Source organism: Homo sapiens, chromosome 16, assembly GCF_000001405.40.
Source record: "Homo sapiens chromosome 16, GRCh38.p14 Primary Assembly".
Taxonomy (NCBI): domain Eukaryota; kingdom Metazoa; phylum Chordata; class Mammalia; order Primates; family Hominidae; genus Homo; species Homo sapiens.
This window is the reverse complement of record NC_000016.10, coordinates 13052563-13079103: the sequence shown is the minus strand read 5'-3', so window position 1 is coordinate 13079103 and position 26541 is coordinate 13052563. Positions and strand designations below refer to the sequence as shown.

Here is a 26541-nt window from a genome sequence, read left to right as displayed (position 1 = left end):
AATTATCTGAGGAAAGTTCTATTAGCCACGTTTTAAAGAGGAGGGAATCAAAGCTCAGAGGGATTAAATAACTCACACAGGGTCACTTAGCAAGATTCAAACCCAGGCTGTCTGGCTGCTGCATAGTCCCAGCTCTTATCTATTCTGTTATGCTTCTTCTAGAGAACATCAGACATGCCCTCCCCTTTTACGCTCCCGGTTAATTTTTAAAGTACTTTTGAAGACTGTGAGCACCCCCACTGCCCTGCAGCATCTCCACCATCAGGTTGCTGCAGAATTAAATGAGGAGACATGGACTCCATCAAACACTTAGAATAGAGCCTGGCACACAGTAAATGTGTATCAGCCCTCCTTATCCAAGGGTTCAACCAACTTGGAATCAAAAATAGTTGAGAAGGGGCCAGGCGTGGTAGCTCACGCCTGTAATCCCAGTACCTTGGGAGACCAAGGTGGGCGGGTCACATGAGGCCAGGAGTTGGAGACCAGCTTGGTCAACATGGCAAAACTCCATCTCTACTAAAAATACAAAAATTATCCAGGCATGGTGGTGCATGCCTGTAATCCCAGCTACTCCAGTGGCTGAGGCAGGAGAATCTCTTAAACCCCAGGGGCAGAGGTTGCAGTGAGCCAAGATCACCCCACTGCACTCCAGTCTGGGTGACAGAATGAGACCCTGTCTTAAAAAAAAATAGTTGAGAAAAATAAATAAAAATACAACAATAAAAAATAATACAAATAAACAATACAGTGCAACAACTATTTACATAGCATTTACATTGTATTAGTCATTATAAGTAACCTAGAGACGATCTAAAGTATTCAGGAGAAAGCCGTAGGCTATATGCAAATAGTATGCCATTTTGTATGAGGGACTTGAGCATCTAGAGATTTTGGTATCCTTGGGGGGTCCTGGAACCAATCCCCTGCGGATACTAAGAGGCAACTGTGTACACATTTGCTATTTTTCTTTCTTATCATTATTACTACTCAAGAGAATCAAACCTGTTTCCAAACATCTTATAAGCACCTGTTTTAATTCCAACTGCATGTGTGTTTATTATTATCACTGTGGTTTTAGTCAATAAAGCCAGTCCCCTGGGATTTCTATTGCTTGAGCTTCTGTTTGTCCTCCTTGCCTTCTTTTTACTTGTTTGCCATATTTTTTTCATCATTATAGTATAACTTGCTGTATGTCCTCATAGGCAATCAAAACAAAGAAATGTGTATATGGTTGTTCTTTTGTGTAAATTGGACTTTCTGCCCCCAATTAATCCAAATTGACTAAGGCTGGCTGTAATTAGAAGTGGCAGCTGTTGCACTCCAACTTCCTTTCAGGGCTTCCTTCTGAGCATTTTTGTTGGAAAAGGAAAGGAACTGAATGAGGGTCTGAGCCAGTTATGCCCACCTGAGAGTCACATGCCAACTCCTGATGTTTCTCCAACACTTGACTTTGATGCAGGCAAGGTGGAGCAGGCTACTACTTCTCACCTGGGCAGAGAAAATGTACTAGAGGCTTTTGGGTGTTTCCCCATCCCCCAGTTTTCTAAGAACTGCTCCTCAAACATGGAAATGGACCTCAGGGGTCATTTTTATACTAAAAAGCCCCACTTCATGGCCATTCCTGATTGGGCCAGAGAGCATCACCTGGTACAAGGAGCACCAATCAGATTCTTTCTCCTGGAAATTTGAAATTGAGTGTGCAAAATCTTCCTTGGTCTGGGTTTGTGCTTCAATATGAGGACAAGTCAATGTGGGGGTGTTGAGCTTGCCATGCTGAGGGAGTCATCTTTTACCATATGGATAAAGTAGAGAACACTGGTCTGGACATAGAGAGGAATTCAGAAGGTTAAAAAAAAAAAAGAAGAAGAAGAAGAAGAAGTGAAAAATAGAAACAGAGGAGACAGAGATAAAGCCAACTGCTGTGCAAATCTGAGATCAGACGCTGTTCAGTCCAGGGTGAAAGGCGGAATAATGATCTTAGTCCTGGTCCTGGTGCTGCATTAGCTGGACTGTACTTTTGCCCTTGGCATCTGTGAGGTATCCCTGGCTCTTTCCAGTGAGTAAGCCCTTTTGCTCTCTCCAGCCTCCGTGGGATTTTGCTTCTTGCCTCAAACCCGGTTGTAACCCAGGCAAAGTGTCATTGACACTACGAGCTAAGGTCATGTTATTTTAATTCGTGGAAATGACACTCAGAGTGATTTAGTCATTAATTCAACAAATATTTACTGAGGGCCTACTATGTACAGGGACCATGACAAGTAGGGATACGGTCTCAGACACACTATAAACAGCTATTCATCTGTGGAGGTGACAACCAAGTAGATTCCTGGAAAGAAATGGAGAGAAAGTAAGGAAACCAATCACTGCAAGAGGCTATTGCCGATGTCACATAATGAAGCTTCAGGAAGCTCACCCAGCTTCCAGCATGCCTTGGAGGTACTGGAGGAGAGAAAATGGGGAAATAGGAAAAGGGCTAGAAGAGGGTCTGCAAAACTTAGCTTTACTTTGATTTCAACTTCCTAGCTATATGAACTTCCAACAAGTCAACCAAATTCTATCTTGTTCTATACCTCTAAAATGGCAGAAGGTTGGGTGTGTGCAAGACAGAGGGTGGGGGAAAGGAGGGAGCAGGGGGAAGTGGGCTAACTAAAAAGTGCATAGGTAAAGAAGTAATGTCATCTATAACCTTATACCCTGGTGCCTCAAAGCTGCTCAGATTTAGAATATTTGCAGAGGCAGAGTAGCATCTTAGAAAAAACAAAATCTGTTTCTCAGCTGGGTGCAGTGGCTCACGCCTGTAATCCCAGCATTTTGGGAGGCTGAGTTGGGCAGATCGCCTGAGGTCAGGAGTTTGAGACCAGCCTGGCCAACATGATGAAATCCCGTCTCTACTAAAAATACAAAACTTAGCCAGGTGTGATGGCGCATGCATGTAATCCCAGCTACTTGGGAGGTTGAGGCAGGAGAATCGCTTGAACATGGGAGGTGGAGGTTGCAGCAAGCCAAGATCGCGCCACTGCACTCCAGCCTAGGTGACAGAGCGAGACTGCATCTCAAAAAAAAAAAAAAAAAAATCTATTTCTCAATGGGGGTTGATTTTCTCCTTAGGGGACATCAGCAATGTCTGGAGACACTTTTGGTTGTCACAACCGAGCTGGGGTGTGCTACCGGCATCTGATGGGTAGAAGCCAAGGATGTTGCTAAACACCCTAGAATGCACAGGGCCATCCTCCGCAACAAAGAATCATCTGGCCCCGAATGCCAACAGTATCTAGATAAGAAACACTGAGTTAGACACATCCTGCTTCTGTCTTACCAGCTGTGTGATCTTTATCAGGCTACTTTTTCTGCTGGCCTACTTCATCTTCTCTAAAATGTGAATCAATAGTACCTTCAGAATAGACATTTTACGAAGCTTAGCTATGATAATATGTGAAGCGCCTTGCATAGAGGAGATGAACAATGCCACCAATAGATATTATGAATGGAATGGGCCGCTCCTGCTCAGCAAATCCAGAAAGCCTTAGGTTGAGTTTTCAGAACGAGAAGGATCCCCTGGGGAGCCCACGACCCTAGCTGACCATTCCTCCCAGCCTGCTGCGTCTTCCCGTCTTCCTGTCTCTTGCAGGCAGGAGGTGCACCAGGACAACTTGGATTCAAAAGACCCTCCCACGGGTTCAAGGCATGATGACGTACTCAGGATCCCTTGGCTTCGGGGCTCAGGGAGCCATGCAAGCTCCTCCTGCCAGCCAGCCTCTCTGTCTCTGGAGGGGCTGACACCAGGTGCTAGAGATCACAACATGGTGAATAATGGAAACTTCCCAAGTATGTAATTATGCAGCATGTTGACTTCATTATGCTATCCAAGCAGATGATTAGGAAATTCCCATGTCCCTGCTCTGCTTCCACAGTGGTCCTACCTCCCAGATGGGAGTTGGGTAGCTGAGCCTCATGCCTGTGGACTCTGCTAATCTCACAGCCAGGCCCCAATACTTTATACAGTGTGCTGGGAGCACTTATGGTAGGGGGCAGATATAGGGTCCTAACTGGGTACAATCATCTCTACCATAAACTGGTTCACTTTGTTCTCCTGCCAACTGCAAAGAAGCAGAGAAAACTAGCAATAAAAATAATAGTAATGGCCAGGCACGGTGGCTCACACCGGTAATCCCAGCACTTTGGGAGGCCGAGACAGGTGGATCACCTGAGGTCAGGAGTTTGAGACCAGCCTGGCCAACTTGGTGAAACCCCATCTCTATTAAATCACAAAAATTAGCCAGGCATGGTGGCATGTGCCTGTAATCCCAGCTGCTCGGGAGGCTGAGGCAGGAGAATCTATCGAACCTGGGAGGCAGAGGTTGCAGTGAGCTGAGATCCCACCATTGCACTCCAGCCTGGGTGACAACAGCAAAACTCCACCTCAAAAAAAAAAAAAGAAAAAGAAAAAGAGAAAAGAAAAGAAAAAAATAATAGTAATGATGATAACAATAAAAATAGCAGTACTCCCACAAGTGTAGGAAGCTGGCTGAAGAATATATCTCATTTGGCTGGGTATGGCCAGACTGCAGAGAGACAAAAGGTATTTACTCACCGTATCCTCAAGGCTAAATGCTCTCAATTTTTAGTGTGCATAGAAACCACCATTAAAAGCCTATTAAAAAAATGTTCATCCTTGGGCTGATCCTTGGGTGGGTAAGAAATGGAGAGGCACAGCTCTGAGCCATTGGTTCTCAAACTTTATTGTGAATCAGAACCACCTGGAGGGCTTTGTATTGGTTTTCTGTGGCAACCATAACAAATTTCTACAAACTGTGTGCTTTAAAACAGCAGAAATGGCCAGGCATGGTGGCTCATGCCCGTAATCTCAGCACTTTGGGAGGCCGAGGGGGGTGGATCACCTGAGGTCAGGAGTTCGAGACCATCCTGGCCAACATGGCAAAACTCCATCTCTACCAAAAATACAAAAATTAGCCAGGCGTGATGGCGGGCGCCTGTAATTCCAGCTACTCGGGAGGCTGAGGCAGGAGAATCACTTGAACCTGGGAGGTAGAGGTTGCAGTGAGCCAAGATCACGCCACTGCATTCCAGCCTGGGCAACAGAACAAGACTCTGCACCCCCCACAAAAAAAAAAAACAAAAAAAAAAACGACCAGCAGAAATTTATTCTCACGGTTCTAGAGGCCAGAAGTCTGAAACCAAGGAGTCCACAGACTTGGTTTCTTCTGGACGCGCTGCAGGAGAACCTGTCCCATGCCTCGTTCCTGCTTTCTAAATGTTACCAGCTATCTTTGGCGTTCCTTGGCTTGTATCCGCCTCGTTCCCATTCACATGGCCTTCTCTGTGAATCCTCTCCCCTTTTCTTCTAAGGACACTTGTCATTGGTTTGAGGACTCACCCTTATCCAGGATAACCTCATCTCATAATCTTTACCTTAATAACATCTTCAAAGATCTCTTTGTCCAAATAAGGTCATGGCCACAGGTTCTAGATGGACATGTCTTTTTGCCACCATTTGACTTTGCACTGCAGATTGCCGGGCCCCACATCCAGCATTTCTGACTCACTAGGTCTGAGCTGGGGTCTGAGAATTTGCATTTCTAACAAATTCCCAGGTGATGCTGCTGCTGATGATGCTAGTCCAGGGACCCCACGTGGGAGATCAATGCCCTTGGCAAATACTCCACATCCAAGTGACTTTGTGTTCTGGTAGTTAGCAAGTGCCAGATGTCTACATTGAACAGAACTGTGAAAGATGGCAAAGACTCTTTGCTCCCACTTTTCATCCTCGACCACCTGATAAGTTTCCTACCCTGAGTCCCCAGGGACCTCAATTAATCCTCAAGAAATGATAAGTCCTGTTGTACAAAAAAAAAAAAAAAAAGAGAGAGAGAGAGAGATAGGAGAGAGTTGGGCTTAGCCAGACCTGGCTGTGCATTTTGCTACCTGTGTGAGCTTGGATGAACAATTTCATCCCTCAGAGCCTCAGTTTCCTTCTCTATAAAATGGGAATAAGGGACGAGCATTGTAGCTCACGTCTGTAATCCCAGCACTCTGAAAGGCCAAGACAGGAGGATCACTCAAGCTCAGGAGTTCAAGACCAGCCTGGGCAAAGTAGCAAGACCTTGTCTCAAAACATAAAATAAGGCCAGGGATGGCGGCTCACACCTGTAATCCCAGCAATTTGGGAGGCCGAGGTGGGTGGATCACTTGAGACCAGGAGTTTGAGATCAGCCTGGCCAACATGGTAAAACCCCATCTCTACTAAAAATACAAAAATTAGCTGGGTGTGGTGGCAGGCGCCTGTAATCTCAGCTATTCAGGAGGCTGAGGCAGGAGAATCCCTTGAACCCAGGAGGTGGAGGTTGCAGCGAGCTGAGATCGTGCCACTGCACTCCAGCCTGGGTGACAGAGCAAGACTCCGTCTCAAAAAAAAAAAAAGATTTTACTTTTTTAAAATAAAATAAAATGGAAATAAGACTTTTGACTGACTTGATCATAGGTCTTGAAAGGATTGAATGAGATGATACATGCAAGCGTAGGAGCTGCTAGAACTAAAAATCACAGCAACTCAGCGATTCTGCTCAGTGACCCAGATGGGATGTGTGATGGGCACAAGACAGCAGGAAGGCCTCCGGCTGGAATTTCGCCAAGAGATAACTAAAAGGTAGCAGGTCCTGCCCCATCACTTCCTCCCCTGGCCCTGCAAAGCCCTGAATTCCTCTCCACTCCCCACCACCAAGCTACTGCCCCACCGGCCATGTCTCCAGAACCCATGATGGTAGTAATCACACCAGATGTTGCCAAACTCCACTGTGGTTCCTGAGGACAGGCTTCATTAACTTTGATCCGGCAGGCTTACCTGCATTGGGTACTGGCTTTATTTCCAGCCACCGCTTCTCAACCTCACTCAAGTGGCTTTGACACTTTGAGGACACTGGTGAGATGGCCTGGGCCAGCCAACGGTCCACTAGGAGACTGATGGGCACTGAAGCCTTCCAAAGCGACTGAGCTGGAACCAGGGGCAGGGAATCATTTAGTCCCCGGGCACTGCAGAGAAGCGGAGTTCTCTCATTCACATCCCTGCAATGTCAACAGTGAGCAACAGTGGGCAGGCCCTAGGCGATTTGGGAAGAGCGGGTGTCAGAAAGCCTGGGGTTTGGCCAGCCACGGTGGGTCACACCTATAATTCCAGCACTTTGGGAGCCTAAAGCAGGCAGGTTACTTGAGCTCAGGAGTTGGAGACAGGCCTGGGCAACATAGTGAAACCCTTTCTCTCCATAAAAATTAAAAAAAAAAATAAAAGCCGGGCATGGTGGTGCATGCCTGTAGTCCCAGCTACTAGGGAGGCTGAAATGGGAGGATGGCTTAAGTCTGGGAGGTGGAGGTTGCAGTAACCTGAGATCGTGCCACTTCACTCCAGCCTGAGTGACAGAGACTCTGTCAAAAAGGAAAGACAGGAAGGAGGGAAGGAAGGAGGGAGGGAGGGAAGGAAGGGAAGAAAGGGAAGGAAGGAAGGAAGGAAGGGAGGAAGGGAGGAAGGAAGGAAAAAGGGAATGGAGGGAGGGGAAAGAAAGGAAAGGAAAGGAATGGAATGGAAAGGCCAGGGTTAAAATCGAGGCTGCATCACTAACCCATGTATAACCTCTAGAAATTTCTCAATGTTCTGAGCCTCAGCTACTTTATCTGTAAAATGGAAATAGTAGGAGGAATTGTTGGAAGGATTCCATCAAATAATCCATGTTTAAGCCCTCATCAGAGAGCCTGCCAACCATACAGAAAGTGCTCAAAACCACCCTGCTAGTTGATTCTTATCCCTAGTATGGGAAAACCAGAGGGATAAAATCACAGGTTCGTAAGACCAGGCTGGCTGTACGTATGACCCTGTCACTCCTTTTTTTTAAATTGTAAAATAAACATAACATAAAATTTGCCATCTTGACGATTTTTAAGGGCACGGTTCTCTGTCATTAAATACATTCACATTGTTGTGCAAACATCACACCATCCATTTCTAGAATGTCTTGTCATTCTTGAATGATAAGCAAGCAGGTGGAACATGTTAGTTCCTGAGGACTTCAGAGCTCCTCAAACTGAAAGGTTACTCAAGAGAGAGAAGAACCAGGCAGGTCAAGGATAAGAGTGGAGGAAAGCAAGAGAACATTAAGGAGCTATCTAATCTATCCTCATGGTCCCACATCTTCCCTCTTTCCTCGGGGCTCCTCAGGGAAGGCGGCTGTGAGGACTTCTTAATGATACAACACTCCTGGGTTCGAATCCCGGCTCTGCACTTAGCCACTGTATGACCTCAGCCATGTTATTTATTATCTCTCAGTCTCCCTCTCCCAATCTGTAAAACCTGGAGAAAGATAACACCAACTGCATAGGTTTGCTAATGAGCGAATGCCTATAAAGAGCTTAGCAAACAGTGACTGACATATAGGTGTTAGCTATGATTGTCCTGGTGCCCCGCCCCCACTTCCCGGCCTCCTGCCTTTTTGGAAATTTGTTCCTGGGTGGCCTAGTTCTGCAACTCTGAATCCTCATTAGGACAGGAATTCCTTCCCAGGCTGAGAAGCCCTAGCAGCCACGGCACAGCCAGGTTTCTTTGTATCCCGGAGAATGTCCCTCCCCCAAAGGGGAATGAGGACAAGAATCACCCAAAAAATCTGCCCGCCAACCCAGAGTCAGGTCCCAGCCTGGCCAATCGCATGTGCTCGCCCTGCGGTGGTTTCCTAGGCAACCAGTACTCCTGTGCCAACACAGAGACTGGGTGCTGGGCATACGGAAGGAGGAGAGAAAGAGAGAGGGAGGGAGACACAGAGATGGAGGCAGAGTCCGGGGGACAGAGCAACATGAGGGGCACGGGGAGAAAAAATGGAAAAGGATGGGAGGAGGGAGAAGAGGAGGAATTCCATGTCTTCTTTGGCAGTTTCCACAGACACATGCGTGCACACACACACACACACACACACACACACACGTACTTTAAAGGGTTGATGTTTTTAAAGGAAAAACAGCTAAAACCACAATACATAAAATGGAAGCCCCCAAATTTCCAAGTGACACCCTTTCTCTTAGTCCACGTGAGCTGCTACGACAAAACACCAGAGCCTGGGTGGCTTATAACAGAAATTGATTTCCCACCGTTCTGCAGGCCGGGAAGACCAAGATTAAAGTGCTGGCAGATTAGGTGTCTGATGAGGACTCATTCCTCATAGACACCTCTCTTCTCACTGTGTCCTCACAGGGCAGAAGGGCCAAGGGATCTCTCTGGGACATCTTTCATAAGGGTACAGATCCCATTCATGAGAGCAAAGCCCTCATAACCTAATCACTTCCCAAAGGCCCCACATCCTCATCTGCACACACTGAGATTAAGTTTCAAGACATAAATGTGAGAGACCATAGCACCCTCACTGGTATGGGTACACACACACACATACATACACCACACACATTTACATTTATGTACACAGACACACACATTGCATGTACACACATGCACACATACATCACATGTACACACACATACACATGCACGCTTATATACATACACCCTACACATGCACACATTGTGTGTACACACATGTATACACATATACACATGCATGCATTGTGTGTACACATATACACATACACATGCATACTTTGTGTGTACACACACATATACACATACACATACACACACATGCACACATTGTATGTACACACATACACATTGCATGTACACACACGTACACATGCACATATATACATACACACATATGCATGCGTACATTGTGTGTACATGTATACACATATACACACGCATACATTGCAGGTACACACACGCACACATTGCATGTACACACATATACACATACACATATATACATGCATACATACACACATTGCATGCATGTACACATGTATACACATATACACATTGCATGTACACACATATATACACATACATGCATATGTACACATATGTGCATATACACATTGCATGTACACATGTATACACACACATACACATTGCATGTACACATGTACACACATACATATACACATTGCATGTACACACAAGAATATGCATACATTTATATGTATGCATACGCACATACACACATTGCATGTACACACATATATACATACATGCATATGTACACATATGCGCATATACACATTGCATGTACACACGTATACACATACACACATACACATTCCATGTACACACATGAATACACATACACACATTGCATGTATGCATATATATACACATACATGCATAAGTACACATACACACATTGCATGTACACACATATATGCATACACATATTGCAGGTGTGCACACATACACACATGAATGCACACACCTGCACTCACACATTTATACACACACACATCTCAGACCCTTTTACCATCACAGGTTGCAGGGGATGCTAGGCTTCTTAATGGCCCAGCCACAGTACTTGTTGGGATTCAGAAAACCTGTGAAAGCCATGGCTCAGAATCACGTTTGTTTACGGAGCTGCTAGGATGGAATACAAGAAAAGTCTAGACTGACAACCCATCCTCTCTCCATCTAAACTCCAGGCCACTCCTAAACTAGACTAACTGCTGTGCAGAGTTCAGTGCTGTAAGAGGAGTATTCCCAATGTCCCCTAGTGAAGGGAGAGTGAGAATAAGTGTACAACAGGTGTCTGTGTGGGTGTTCACACACCCTTTTATGAACCTTTTTATTTTCAGGTCCACAAACCCATAGAAAAATAGTAAAAACAACTATTTGCATTGCCTGATTGCAGCCACACAAGAATGACTACTGTTGGCTCATTTTATGGGTCGAGAAACGGAGGCCTGGGCAGGTAAAGAGTCCTGTTCAATGGCCCACATCACAATGGAGAAACTGAGGCAAAGGAAGGTAAGAGTGTTGTTTAAGAACACCCACACCATGGATGGGGAAAGCAAGGCACAGGAAGGTTGTCCTAGGACCCAGAACTCTCATTTATGAACCCACAGTTCCAGCCCAAGGAGCCTGATCTCAGAGCATATGTGGTCAACCACTCAGCTCTTTGGCCCTCCCACAATTATGGCCCCATCCCAGCCAGCCGGAAACTGACTGTGTGTTGGAGAAGGCAGACAATTAAAAAGGTGACATCAGTGTAGCATGGTGAGCATTAATGCCGGTGTCCGGGGGTTTGAGGAAGTGACATCTCAAGTGAGATCTGAAGGTTGAGGAGGAATCAGTGGGAGGACAGGAGAGTGGTGAAGGCAGCAGCGTGGGGGCTGCCAAGCAGAATCTAAATGGCGCAAAGGCCTACTGCAAAGCTGGGTTGGAGTGAGGCTGCAGCAGGCACAGCAGGTGCAGGCGGACTGGGGACGTGAGCAAAGGCCAGCTAAGACAGGGCCTGAGCTGGAACACTGAGTTACACTCTCCCCTGAAGACAATGCCAAGGCATTGAAATTTTCCTTTTTTGAAACAGGGTCTCATTCTGTCACCCAGGCTGGTTTGCAGTGGTGCAATCACAGCTCACTGCAGCCTTGACCTCCTGGGCTCGGGTGGAATTTCTAGGAGAGAAATTACATGCCACATAGAACACATTGGCCTTGGCCAAGAGAACAGATAGAAGGAAGCAAGTCCAGCAGGGGAGACACAGAATCCTACCTGATTCTAACCAAAATGGCAGATGAGGAAACCAAGGCACAGAGAGGAGAGCTTGTTTGCCCAACATCACTCATCTAGAAAGTGAAGGAATCACATGTGAACTTGAGTTCATCAAATGCCAGAGCCCAGCTTCTGGGCACCTATGCAAGCCACTTCCCATCTAGGTTCCTTCTAGGTTCATCAATCTCTTGGCCAACAAGGATCTGTAAGAGATTCCACTGTGTCCATTTCTCCTGCATCAGGACCAGATCCCACACCCAGTACTGGGCAAAGAAAATAAGTGTAAGCTAAGTCAAGCATGCACTCTGTCTCTTCAAGGTGTTATCCACTTCAAAGTTTAATTCTCCATATAGTGTTTCTACCTGTGTCCCTCAAAGCTTCCCCAGGCACTAGCTCCCACAGTTCCTTCCTATTTGAACATCCACCCTAATACCCAAAGCATTTAAAGCTCTAGGGGATCTTGATGATACTCCAGCCCAATACAGTAGAAATACTTTCCCCAAAACCAGTGTTCAGACTGTGACCTAAAAGCAGACATTTAGAACAAAACTTCTAGAGTCTCAATGCAGGAGGATCCTGGAATCCAGTGCAACCATGCCACTTATTTGCTAAGGGACCTTTGACAAGACTGGGGAACATAAAATATATCTGTAAAATGTAACTGACATTACATATAGAGGCCCTGATCTTGGTTCACAGGACTGACAATTGTTATAGCACATATTTACTACATGCCTACTTTGTGCCAGGCATGATGCCAGGTACTTTACATTCATTACACGTTTAATTCTCAAAACACCCTTATGAGGCAGGCATGGTTAATATTCCCATTTTACAGATAAAGAATGTGAGGCTTATAGAAGTTAGGTGACCTTCCCGCATTAACCCCATTATCAATCAGTTCATTCAATACATATATTCATTGAGTGCCTAGCACGTACTGGGCACTCCAGATACTGGAATTACTCATTTGAACATCAGCAACAACAACAAAAAGATGGTTTTTATGAAATTTATATTCTATAGAGAAGAGACAGAAAATGAATAAACATATCAAATATAAATAAACATGGTAATGGTGGTAAGTGCCATAGAGGAAAAAGAAAAAATAAAAGATGCTATTGTATCAGTCAGAATTCATTAGGTTATGCTGCAGTAACAAATAGCCCCTAAGTCCCTAGAGCTGGTCCATTTCTGATTCACACTACATGTCAAGTGCAGATAAGGAAAGAGATATTTCCACTGTAGTCACGCAGGGACCCAGGCCGAGAAAAGTGCCATCTCCATGCATCTTCCATCTCAGTGTTATCACCATAGCAAGAGGAAAAGGATGTGGAGAATCAGACACTGGCTCTGAAAGTTCGTATCTCCCTCAGTGAGGGATGGAGAAAAAATGTGGGGGCTTCTTTGAGTAGAGAGGTCTGGAAAGACCCTTTGGATGGTAAATTGAAGGTCTTGGGTTTGAACCCTAGCCTTTCACAAGCTTGCACTTTCCACTGGGCCAGGTGACTAGGATAAATTATTAATGACCCTGGCATAAAAGACAGTTCATACACCATGCGTATACAAGACTAAGACTTGCAAATTGAGCTGTGGAAGTCAGTCCTTTGTCAAGGTCTAGCTCAGAGTGATGAAAGACCTGCAGAGTCATCCTGACAAGCGGAGATTCTAGGAGCACCAGACAACAGTCTTTGCTTCTGCCTTTCTTGGAAAATTCAAAGGACTTACACCTTGGTTCGGAAACTTTTATTTTCCTTTCTCTGTTCTTTCCTACAGAAGAGCCACCACGTGGGAAACGTGGCAAGCCTTCGAACCCTTCCTTAGCAACAGAAACTTTTAATTAGTAAAAGAACATTAAAAGCAGAAAAGAAATCTCACCCAAGAGCTAGAAACATGGGCAAAAGCCCACCTGATGGTGCCTAAAGTTATCATTTTTTATATCAAGTGCTAAATAACTGTGTTCTTTTCATGTGAACAGAGGTAGTTTCAGTTTGTCATGCCCTAAACGTGGCTTTGGCCTTGAATTCTGTTTTCTTCTCTCTAAAACTTTCACTGGTTCATAGTTTATAAATACACCTAGTCCCAACCCCAACATTGAGCTGGTATCCAGGCTGGGATGCACCTCACATAGGGGTAAGGAGATGGGTTTGAAAGAAAAAGAGAAAGGGACAGGGATGAGGGAGTGGGAGGGAGAGAGAAAAATCAGTGATAAGGAAGAAGAAGGTCAGTGGCAATAAAGTGAGATCATTGCCAAGGATGCAAAACAAGGGGAGAAGAAGATGAACGTGGAGGAGTGACATACCAGGCAGACAACTGATACCCTTGTTAGGTGAGGACCATGGTCTGGGAGATCTAGGGGAGATAAAGGCAAGATATCTTAAGCTAAGGCCAGACTGACCACATTGTCAAATGGTTACTTCCCACCATCCTCCCAAGAGGTGGGGTCTCTGATCCCATGTCACAGACAAAGACACAAAGCTTAAAGGAGGAATGCAGTTTGTGATCCATCAGGTCTCAGCTCAAATGTCACACCTCAGTGAGGCTGCCCCTCCCCAAAGCACCCTCTTCCAGTGTCTCACCCTCTCCCTTGGCTGTTTGGTTTATATCCCACTCTGGTGAGGGTAATCTTTCTCATCCATTTGTTCTCTTTTTTTCTTTTTTTTTTTTTTTTTGCCTTACAACTTTTATTTCGTTGTTTAAAAATGATAAAGGTAATACATGTTCATTGTAGAAAAAAATCTGAAAACAGAAAAATTTGAAGTTTTCTTTTAATATTTTTAGGAGAGTCTCTTTTGTTTTCTGGGTAGATTTGTAATGCAAACTTCCGTTATTGGCTACTAGTGGTATTGAACTGGAAAGTGTGCACATTTGTGCATACACATATAATGATCCTTATATCATTCAAAATTCTTATGTACATTTTGCTTGACTTTGATATGCTGAAGGAATGGTGTGTTTAAAATTCTTGTATTATTATTATTTTTCTTTTCATCTTTTATTTTAGGCTCAAGGGGAACATGTGCAGGTTTGTCAGTGGCATACCACCCTGAACGCGCCTGATCTCATGTGTTCTATTCTTTCTTGTCTACCTCTACAATAGGAAGATAAGCTCCCTAAGCAAGGTCACCTGTCTCTGAATTTGCTGCTGGTATCTCCAGGATCTATAAAAGTACCTAGCACATAGTAGGTGCTCAATAAGTATTTGTTGACTGAATAAATGAATGACTGTGGCCTGGCATTAAAACTATTCAAATCTTGGCTCTCAGTGCAAAAGTTGAGTCAAAATACACTCTGGAGGCTGAGACAAGACGATCACTTGAGCCCAGGAGTTCAAGTCCAGCCTGGGCAACACAGTGAGACTCCATCTCAAAAACCCTCAAAACACAGGAAATTAAACGTGGACGCAATAATGTGGGTCCAAACACTGAGTGACAACAGAAGAGCCACGGGCCTCTGGTGCCAACACAAAGCCTGCTTAGGCCTGGAAGCCTTAAAATTATCTCCTTGGTAGGGCAGAGCCAAGGGCTGGTGTGGGAGTCGGAAGTCAGAGACAAGAGCCCAGCCTGGCTGTCAGAATGGGTTAGGGCTACGCAAAGAGTGGGCTCTGGACAAACCCTTGCTTTTTCCTGGTCCAAAAAGGCTGAGGGCCGCATAGGGTCATACTCCCCATATCGTCTCCTGGCTGACACATTTCCACCTGGTTCTGCTTCATGGTACCAATGTGTGTGTCTCTGTTATAGTCTTTGCAGTATACGCACCCTTCCTTGGATACCATCACTGACTCTCGCTGGAAAGTGGTGAGCTGTCAATGCCATTGCGCAATCAATAGAAATATCTCGCTTTCCTGATGTAAAGAAAGAAGAGGATGCTGAAGGACCCAGTACTTAGATGAACATTCTGCGCCATTATTTCATTGACGCCCCACAAGAACACACGGAGGCAGAAGTTAGTGTCATTTCCACTTTACGAGATGAGAAAACTGAGATTCAAAGATAATAATGGTGATGGTGAACATGCTTTGTGTACTTTGTGAATGCCAGGCACTAGCCTAACTATAGGACATGGATTTTGTTTTTTTTTTCCATTTAAGGTCCCGACCAACTTTAAGATTGTGCTTTCATTAAACCCGTTTTACAGATAAAGAAACTGAGGGCCAGGTGCAGTGGCTCACACCTGTAATCCTAGCATTTGGGGAGACTGAGGTGGGCAGATCACGAGGTCAGGAGATCAAGACCATCCTGGCTAACACAGTGAAATCCCGTCTCAACTAAAAATACAAAAATGTAGCCGGGTGTGGTGGCACACTCCTGTAGTCCCAGCTACTCGGGAGGCTGAGGCAGGAGAATCACTTGATCCCGGGAGGCTGAGGTTGCAGTGAGCTGAGATCGCATCACTGCACTCCAGCCTGGGTGACAGAGCAAGACTCCGTCTCAAAAAAAAGAAAAAAAAAGAAAAGAAACTGAGATAGGGTCACTCAGCTAGTGAGGGATGCGTCCGAAAGCACGCCCAGGCAAGTGCATCTAGCCTCGCCACTGTGGTCTCTCCCTCGGGAGCCAGGATCAGGGTACCAGGGTGAGGCTGGTGAGCCACTTTCCTTGGGTGCACAACTTACAGGGGCACCAAGAAACTCCATCATCGGAATAAACAGTATTCAAATGCAACAGTTTTAAAAATCAAAAGTAATTCTAAAAATCCATGTTGAACAAGGTATCAAAATTTTAAATAAATGCAAAATCAGTAACTCTACTCTGCCAAGCCAAATTAGTCAGGGGCAAAAGGAAAAAATAAGTAATACTCCCCTCCCCCTACTCCAGGAAACTCCTCTGAGTAATCTAGTCTCAGGGGCTCAAAAGCACCATGATAACTCACACCCTCAACTAATCAAAACCCCACTACTCTCTGCAGCACTTTAGGAAACATTCTGCAATGGAAGCCTCAGTAAAATCTACTGAGCTACTCAAGACCCAAAAGGACCCCTGTTGCTCAGTTGTGGCAGGTAAGACACAGAGAGGTTAAGCAATCTGCTCTAGGTCACACAGCAATGTCCACTGTACCTAGATGCAGTCCTTGATCTACTCTGCGAAAACTGCAGGTACAAAACAAACCATCATCTTTGTCCATAGGATTTATCTGAACACCTCTGCTGTCTTCCCAGTGTGCACGGAGTCAGGTGATCACTACAGCCAGGGTTACCAGATTTGGCAACTAGAGACACAGGACTCCCACTTAAATGTGCATTTCAGATAAACAATGGATTTTTTTTTTTTTAGCGTAAGTCCCCTGCCATACTTGAGGTATACTTCCACTAAAATGCCACCCGTTGTTTGTCTGAGATTCAAATTTATCTGGGGGTCCTGTATTTTATTTGGCAGCCCAAGCTGCAACAGACTTGGATTAATAAAAATAATCGGAGCTGGAACTTGACTGGGCACTTCGCCTTCCCTACTTGCTGCCTGCCTCACTCAAGTCCAGCCCCACCGGCCTGCTCTCCTTTCCTCTGGCGCATTGAGCTCCGTCCAACTTAAGGAACTTGTGCAGGCTCTTCCGTCTGCTTAGAATGCTCCTCCCCCCACCATTCAATGGCTCTATATCTTTTTTAGCCTTTGAGTCTTGGCTTACATGCTGCCTCCTCAGAGAGGCCCAACCCATCACTTCGTATCCCGTTTCTTTCATTCTGTTGGCCTTTTGTTTGTTTCTTCTACAGCAGAAATCACAATTTGCAATGACGTTATTATGTAGCTGGTTAATGGGTTGGGGTTGCTTCCTGTAATGAATTGCAAAGCTCCAGAGGGCAGGAGCTATACCTGTTTGGTCCATCTGTATCTCCAGCACCCAGCACAGTACCCTGCATATACTAGGTCCTCAATACATATGTTGAGTTAATGTAAGTATTGGGCACTCCCAGTCTAGCTAATGCATTCTCCAAAGTGGCCTTATACCCAAGTTCCCTTTAATCCGGACAGTGCATAAACCTGCCAAGTTCAAATGTTTTGCTGATATGTAACAATCTTAGATTGTCGGACGAAGCGACTTGCAGACTGCTTTCCTGAACAACAATAACAACCAAAAAAAGGATTATATAACTCTAAATGGGAGAATAGGCATCAAAACTATTTCCTTGCCTAACATCATCCTGTTATTATTTTGACATCTGTGTAGGCTGCGGAATGATTCTTTTAACGCCGTGTGTGAGGCGTATTTATATCGCTGGCTGTAGCACAGAGCATATGCAAAGGCTTCAGATAACTATTCTAGTAGGTCTTGCCTGTAGCCGTATCAGGCCCCGTGTGGAGGGCCTGAAAAAGCATTCCTGTGTTTACTATGTTTAACGAGGATTGGCTTCCAAGAGGCAGGGCGATAAGCAAGCCCTGCTTTTCCGGTATACCAGTTCCTTCAGTCCCAGTGGAGACAGGAGCATTGGGACCACAAGGTCCCCGATCCCCATACCATGCACCATGCCTTGGAGGGGACATGGAAATGTGTCAACCAGGAGACGATATGGAGAGTATGACCCCATGCGGCCCTCAGTCTTTTTGGACTAGGAAGAAGCAAGGGTTTGTCCAGAGCCTACTCTTTGCATAGCCCTAACCCATTCTAACAGCCAGGCTGGGCTCTTGTCTCTGACTTCCAACTCCCACGCCAGCCCTTGGCTCTGCCCTACCCAGGAGATAATTTTAAAGCTTCCTGGCCTAGGCGGGCTTTGTGTTGGCACCAGAGGCTCGTGGCTCTTCTGTTGTCTCTCTGTGTTTGAACCCACATCATTGCTTCCACCTTTAATTTCCTGTATTTTGAGTGTTTTTTTTTTTTTTTTTTTTTTTTGAGATGGGGTCTCACTGTGTTGCCCAGACTGGACTCAAACTCCTGGGCTCAAGTGATCCTCTTGCCTCAGCCTCCAGAGTGTATTTCAAGAAATAAAAAGTAGCACCTACCATCGCCCAAGGCTTGCTGTACCCAAGCACCGTGCTAGGCTGTTTTCAGTCTTCACCATCACCCTCTGTGATCCGTTCCAATCTGCCCATTTCTCAGAGAAGAAAACGGAATCCTAGAGAGAGGTTAAGAAACCTGCCTCATGTCCTCTGGTTGATAAGACGCAGAGTAGAGAATTTCATCCCAGTCTGCTCCTTCCAAAGGCAGGCATGCATTCTGGGGATGGTTTGATCAAGATCATTACCTTCCTCACCAGCAGCTTCTGTCAGAGAAAGGAAGGAGAATGAAATCTAAATGGTTTTCCCAGGAACGCTGTCCCTCCAGCTTCAATAATGTGGCACATCGGGGCGCATTGAGAGAACAGAGGAAACCGGCACCTTGGAGCCAGGCCCGTCTGGGATTTAGTGGAGCCACCTGCACTTAACTGTCATGTGACTCTGGGTGAAGGTCATGATCTCTCTGAATACTGGTTACCTCGCCTGTCAAATGGGGGTAATAATCAGAATTACTGCCTGTATTTGTTTGCTAGGGCTGTTAAGATAAAGAACCACAGACAGGATGGCTTAAATGACAGAAATCTATTGTCTCACGGTTCTGGAGTCGGAAAGTCTAAGATCAAGGTGTGGGCAGGGTGGGTCCCTTTGGAGGCCTCTCTCCTGGGCTTGTCAATGGCTGCCTTCTCCCTGTGTCTCTTCACATCACCTTTCCTTTGTCCAAACCTCCCCTTTTGTAAGAACATCAGTCATACTGGATTGGGGCTTACCCTAACGACCTCATTCTAACTTGAGGTCAGAATGTGGTTATATAATAATATCGGAATGTGATATTATTTGCAGATAGACTCTTCTTTTTATTTTAAGTTCAAGTTTACATGTGCAGGATGTGCAGGTTTGTTACATAGGTAAACGTGTGCCATGGTGGTTTGCTGTACCTATCAACCCATCACCTAGGTATGAAGACCCCCCGCATGTATTTGCTGTTTATCCTGATGCTCTCCCTCCCCACCTGAACCTTCTGACAGGCCCCAGTATGTGATGTCCCCCACCCACATGTCCACATGTTTACAGATAGACTCTGTACCTCTGTAAATAGTCTATCTGATAGGCCAGGTGCGGTGGCTCACGCCTGTAATCCCAGCACTTTGGGAGGCCGAGGTGGGCAGATCACGAGGTCAGGAGATTGAGACCATCCTGGCTAACACAGTGAAACTCCGTCTCTACTAAAAATACAAAAAATTAGCCAGGCATGGTGGCGGCCACCTGTACTCCCAGCTACTCGGGAGGCTGAGGCAAGAGAATGGCATGAACCCGGGAGGGGGAGCTTGCAATGAGCCGAGATCACGCCACTGCACTCCAGCCTGGGCGACAGAGTGAGACTCTGTCTCAAAAAAAAAAAAAAAAAAAAAAAAGATAGAGTTTTTACAGAGGCAAAGAATAATATCAAATAATATCACATTCAGAGGTACTGGGGGCCAAGGCTTTAACATAGGAGTTGGGGGAACACACCATTCAATTCCTAATTATTCTAAGAATGTCTTACTGGTTAATACAGAAAATGCATATGGAAACACCTTCCCAAATGTCCACCCCCCAAACCCACACTCATCACGTGTCTTGGCCAAATGGTCTAGAATTATGTACTTCCCCTTGCTGAGCTATTGGTTAGTTAGTGAGCAACGGTATTATGTGTGCTGGTCCTGCCTGGATCCCTAGCTATGGGAGACATCTCCCACCACACATACACATTCACACACACACACACACACACACACACACACAAATACACCACACCACTGGTCAATGACATGTAGCCATCATGGGGGATGGCAGCCCTGAACCTGTACAAAAGCTTTCAACTACCTCTCCTCGAAAGATGACACTTTTCCCTTACATTGGGCTTGGAGTGGAAGACTAGAAGAGAACTTTTGTGGCTCTAGGATTTTATTCTGAGCTCCACCCCTTCTCAGCATCACTGCTGTCTTCCTTTCCTCCCTAGGCCTCACTTTGCTCATCTGGAAAATAGGAATAATGGTAAGTCATGGTAGTTGTGGGAGTAAATGAAGGAAGTAGTGTAAAGAGCCTCATGGCTCAGGGATGGCCGTAGCAGTTACTTGTCAACATGAGTCCCCCTTGTTATAATCACCAGGGAGGCCCTGAGTAATAAGAGGGCACAGAGCAGTAGGTACCCTGGGTCCCAATTTCAGCCAATGCTAAGAATCACCCCTTCCCCATAGAGGCACATTCTGTAACTCTAGAACTAGTCCTGGGAACCTGCATTTTTAACAAGCTCTCAGGTATTGTATGACCAGGCAATAAGCAAGCCAAATTGTTATTCACTCAATCACTGGAAAAGCATCTTTTTAAAAAAAAGTTCATATGCCTGGGCTTTGTCCCACCCCAGCCCTATTGCATCAGAATCTCTAGGGAGCAAGATTGGCATGCTTGTATGTGGAAACTGCTCTCCATCCATTTCTGAGGTGCACTGTTGATTAAGAATCACTTATTTAACATATTCACCATGGAATATTATACAGCCATAAAAAGGAACGAGATCATGTCCTTTGCAGGAGCATGGATGGAGCTTGAAGCCATTATCCTCAGCAAACTAACACAGGAACAGACAACTAAACACTGGATGTTCTCATTCATAAGTGGGAGCTGAACAATGAGAACACATGGACACAGGGAGGGGAATATCACACAATGGGGCCTGTGGTGGTAGGGAGGAGAGAGCATCAGGATAAAAAGTTAAGGCATGCAGGGCTTCATACCTAGGTAATGGGTTGATAGGTGCAGCAAACCACCATGGCACACGTTTACCTATGTAACAAACCTGCACATTCTGCACATGTATCGCAGAACTTAAATAAAATTAAATTAAAAATAAAAAAGTATCACTTATTTAGAGCAAGCAGTTCTCAAACTATGGTATGCATCAGATCCCTTCGGGAGTGTATTTAAAATGCTGAGTCCTGGGCTCTTACTCCCCAAAATCTGATTTGATGGATCTATGGTGAAGCCCAAGAATCTACATTTTAATAAACCTCCCTGGAGATTGCAGTGAGCCAAGATCGCCCCATTGCACTCCAGCCTGGACTATAAGAGCAAAACTCTGTCAATAAATAAATAAATAAACCCCCCAGGCAATTAGGATACGGTGAATCCGACACTCCCTACTTTGAAAACATTCCCTTCTAAGCTTGTTGGATCCTAAGGAGGAACAGAGCACCTGCCTTCCATAAATGAGAGTCCCATCCCATCCATCCAGGGCTGTCTTGTGAAAGGCAAGCCTAGCTCAAATCCATGAACGTTCTATTGTTCGGCTCCCTGGAGGCTGCCACAGCTGGAGGACTGGCCCTCTGAGCCTCACCTGGGTACAACCCTCCAGCCCCAGGCAGGAAGGGCATTACATGCTCAGCAGCCCCCTCTGCTAGCGGGCCTATAGCACCGAGGCCCATTCCTTTAGCTTCCAGTTTGTATTTTCCTTTTGCAATATGCTTTCTGGATCGGGGGCGCCCCATACTCCCCTTTGCTAGCCTCACAGCTAACATACCACAGAGCCTGTGTTCAATCCAAACCTACACACCTGCCAGATTCACTATCTCCCTAAGCCCCGCTGTGTCTACTTTCTCTCACTTCCTCCTGCTAACAGCGAGGTGTTAACCAATCCTGAGAATGAACGCTTCGTGGCATGAATTCAAGTACCCTTTTCCCACCCTAATAAGCTAATGCCTATGTAGCACTCACTGACTGCTGTGTTTGGCAGTCCTTTTAAGCACTCTGCATACATTGACTCACTGAACCCTGACCACAACACTGTGAAGCGGAAGGCAAGTTTTATGGGAAAGGAAACTGAGGTACAGACAGGTGAGGTGACTTAGCTAAGACCACACAGCTCCTAAGGAGCAGGCCCTGAGTCTGAACTCAGACAATCTGGCCCAGAGTCATGCTATTTATTACCCAATAAATCCTTCCAACCCATAACTGATATTATTCTAGTCTTCCCTTCAGTGTATGTGTCCCTCCCCATACCTAACACTGGTCTACATGTCTGACCTGATGTCTGTAGGTGATTCCAACATAAAGAGATGGATCAACACAGATCTCATTGACCCAGGGAAGTGGATTTGAGGAGCAGGACTTTATCTCCTTGCCTTCAGGCCTCTATTGCATAATTTGACTTTTCCCTAGACAAACCATAGTTTGCCTCCACCCTGTAAAATGTAGCTCTTCTTCTACCAATGCCTCTTTGATTCAAGTATACACCCCCAGCACACTTCTGTCATTTAGTGCTGTGTCATGCATGCATGCTTCCTCTGTTCTCCTGCTGCCCTGGGATAAAGTGTTCAGAGTTGAGCCCATTTAAGCGCATGGCCCCTATATCCTATATATTAATTCAGCCAATATTTCCCAAGCACCTGCTATGTGTCAGGCCCTGAACTGTGCCCTCAGAGGTCCATGCTGGGTCTCTGCCCTCCTACAGTTCACAGTCCACATGACAGAGGCGGATCTGCCACCCACTGTGCATACTTGCGTCCCAAGCTTCATGAAAACCACATGTGTGACATCAGCAACAGTCTGTGCATCTAGCTGGCAACTTCCCTGTGGGCATCACTCAGCAAAGGCTTGTTGGACTTACTGGCTGTTAGCAAGGCAAGTTGGTAATTTGTTCCATCACTCTCACCTAAGCACGAGATTTCTTAAAAAACAATACATCTCGGTTGAGTAATGAGTTAAGGGAATATCAGCTTTGCTGCATCCTCAGTAATTCTGATGACTTCTCTGTTGCCCTAGAATGCATTTTAGTGTTTCCCTGGGTGGCACACAGCCTCCAGAGTGCTATGAGGGAAGAGGGTGAGTGGGCATGGAGGGAGAATTTAGAATTCTGCTCAGCTCTTGTAATTCAGAGTGGGATGCTGGCTCGTACTTCAATGGGTCTGACAAAGTTACATTACAGTGCTCCTGGAATTGGAATTCAAACTGTGAGAGCCAAGACACTTTCTCATGATCACCAAGAAGACTGTAAGGAAACAGAGTCTTTGGGGTACAGAAATAGAGAGAAGGAGCCATTCATTCAACCCCAAATACTTAGGTGGAGTTTACTATGCATGAGTTCCTGCACTAGAACCAGAGAGACAGTGAGAAGCAAAAATTAACATAGTCATTACTCCCAAAGAGCCTAAAAGAGACACAAAACAGCACTGTGGTTATGGGCACAGACTCTGAAGCAAAGATGTCTGAGTTCTAATTCTCGTTCTATTTACCTGAAGCATGGTCTTGGGAAAATCACTTACTTTCTCTGTGACTCAGTTTCCCCACCTGTAAAATGGGCATAATCACAGTTCCCTATCTTATGAGGTTTCTGTGGATTATATAAAATAATACAACTGAAGGGCTTAGAACAGAACAAATTCTAAGAGTGTGAGCTATTATTATATGATGATGGCCAAATTAGGAGAAGGCCTATTAATTTAATAATGATATGCATACATATAAACTTGGGGCAGCTTGTGATTGTAGGACAAAGGGGTTTGCTTTGGAAACGTCACTGAAGGTCTCCCTAAGAAAGAGCCATATAAGTAGAAATTTGAAGGACAAGTAAAAGCAAACTAGGGTTAGACTAGAAAGAAGAGTGAACCAGTGGGGATAGCATGTGCAAAGGCCCCGTGGCAGGAGACAGCGTGGAAATTTCCATGCACTGAAATGAAGTCAGTGTGGCTGGAAGGCAGAGAGCAAGTTGAACATCACTCATGAGAGGGGCTGGAGGTGCAGAGAGAGGCCAGAAGCAGCCCGTGTTAAAGATTTCTCTCTATTCTAAGCATCTGCCTCTAGGCAAGTCTAAACCCTCTGCATACGAGGTATTCATTATTTGCCTTTTTATCAACCATCTCAAGAGGAGTTTAACAAACTTCCTTAGCAAAATCCCATTGTTGCCCTGAAAATAAGTCAAATTTGTCCCTATGTTTAAAAGGAGATTATAATAGAAAGTTAAAGACATTCTCTTTGATTCACCAATAAGAATTTCCATGGACATGTATGTAGTCAAATGATTTCAAGACTTCTTGGTTCCTAGAAATATCGGGGAGTTCAAAATAGAACAGTCATCATTTGCTGCTTAGGAAATTTCAATGCTATACCAAAGGATGGATGGGAAAGAAGGAGGGTAACAGTCACTGAGGCCCAACAGTGCACCAGACGCCAAGCAGACCGTGGGAGCCACAGGTTTTTCTTATTTCACCTTTGCATCCACCCTGTAAGGTGAAGATCATCGTTATCCCCATTTTTATAGATGACAAAACTGAGGCTCGTTAGGTGGAGGTTTGCTTAAGGCCAGTGTTTGAATCAAATGCCAGGCATGGTTCTAGGTGCAGGAAACACACAGCTGTGGTTTCTGTCCTCATGGAAGTTACATTCTAATAGGGAAGACATACCAAAAAAGCAAATTCATATGTGAACAAAATAATTTCAGGATTGATGTGGGCTTTAAAGAAAATAAAGCAGGTTATATGAAAGAGAGAGAAGAGATGAAGCTTCCAGCTGGAAGAGAAGAGGCGAGACTCCTCCAGCTGGAATCGTCAAGGATACCGACTCTGGGGAGGGTATCAGTGGGCTTCTTGGCCTCATTGCTTTGCTCCCTCATACATAATCTTTAACCATCTTTAGAGCCAAATAGTTCAGGTGACATGTTCACCAAGAGTTATTACAGAAAAACTATTTTATTTTCACTGCTAGAAGAATTCACTGGACCTGAGACCTGGACCAGGAAGCCACGTCCCATATGAGAGGTGGAGCATTCCAGGCAGAATGAAGAGTAAGTGAAAATACACAGTCACTGAGGCAGGAATGAGTTCAGTGGGCTTAAGATACACGAAGAAAGATCAGGGAGGTCTGAAAACTGAAGAAAGCAACAGGGAATCAGGCAAGGTGAAGTCAGAGAGAGGTGGTAGGTGATGGGGTAGAGTCCAGATTTTAATCCATGTGGATGGGAAAACTCTGGAAGGGCACCATAATTGAATGATATAATCTGATTTGCATTATTTAAGAGAACAGTTGGACTGCTGCAGAAAGAATAGACTGTAAGGGGTTAACATGGTTGCAGGGAGACCTGTTGGAGGCTTTGGCTATAGCTTAGGTGAATGATGATGGAGACTTGGACCATGCTGGAGGTAATGGAAATGAAAGGAAGTAATCAGATCGTCAACTACATTGCAGAGGTGAGATGCCAACACTTGATGAAGGATTGAATGCAGACAGTAGAAAGGAAAGGGGGCTGCGTGCGATGGTTCACACCTGTAATCCCAGCACTTTGGGAGGCCGAGGTGGGCGGATCACCGGAGGTCAGAAGTTCGAGACCAGCCTGGCCAACATGGCGAAACCCCATCTCTACTAAAAATACAAAAATTAGCCAGTGTGGTAGCAGACACCTGTAATCCCAGGTTCTCGGGAGAATGGGACATGAGAATTGCTTGAACCTGGCAGGCGGAGGTTGCAATGAGCCAAAAGCATGCCACTGCACTCCAGCCTGAGCAACAGAGCAAGACTCTGCCTCAAAAAAAAAAAAAAAAAAAAAAGAAAGGAAGGAAAGGGGATCCTAAAGGATTTCTTTGTTGGTAATAGCTGTGCCAACTTGAGTAATTAACTTAAATTCTCCAAGCCTCAGTTTCCCCAACCAAAGATGGGAATAACCACACCCATAGTGAAAGCTTCTGGGTAGTGAACCAAATACCTATCCAGCACAGGGCTCAGAACAGGTGGCATTTTTTTTAAATCTGTTTTTCCCTTAGTATGTTTGAGGTTTGGCTACCACTGAAAAAGAACAACAGATGGTTAAAGACATTTAAGTTAATCCAGGAAAATAGAAACAACTCCCCAGCAACTTGGAGCCATATGGATTTCTTGGTTGGGTGAACTCATCTAAATAGGGTTTTGCAAAGTGTCTGTCCGTCAGTTGTATTTCTGCCATAGATT

The 26541-nt window shown here is 45.2% G+C and overlaps 1 protein-coding gene across 6 annotated transcripts in view, besides 2 other annotated features; it reads right to left on the bottom strand.

Moving 5' to 3' along the window:
* The window catches only part of SHISA9 (shisa family member 9), a 661420-nt gene that overhangs the window by 483914 nt on the left and 150965 nt on the right, over positions 1–26541 (bottom strand). The window lies entirely within an intron of this gene.
* Positions 8302–8835: an enhancer, noted in NCBI's record as "H3K27ac-H3K4me1 hESC enhancer chr16:13164126-13164659 (GRCh37/hg19 assembly coordinates)". NCBI's record gives its function as "activates a minimal SCP1, AML or CMV promoter by ChIP-STARR-seq in naive H9 embryonic stem cells {active_cell/tissue: H9 hESC(naive)}" and the evidence as "EXISTENCE:reporter gene assay evidence [ECO:0000049][PMID:30033119]".
* Positions 8836–9370: an enhancer, noted in NCBI's record as "H3K27ac-H3K4me1 hESC enhancer chr16:13163591-13164125 (GRCh37/hg19 assembly coordinates)". NCBI's record gives its function as "activates a minimal SCP1, AML or CMV promoter by ChIP-STARR-seq in naive H9 embryonic stem cells {active_cell/tissue: H9 hESC(naive)}" and the evidence as "EXISTENCE:reporter gene assay evidence [ECO:0000049][PMID:30033119]".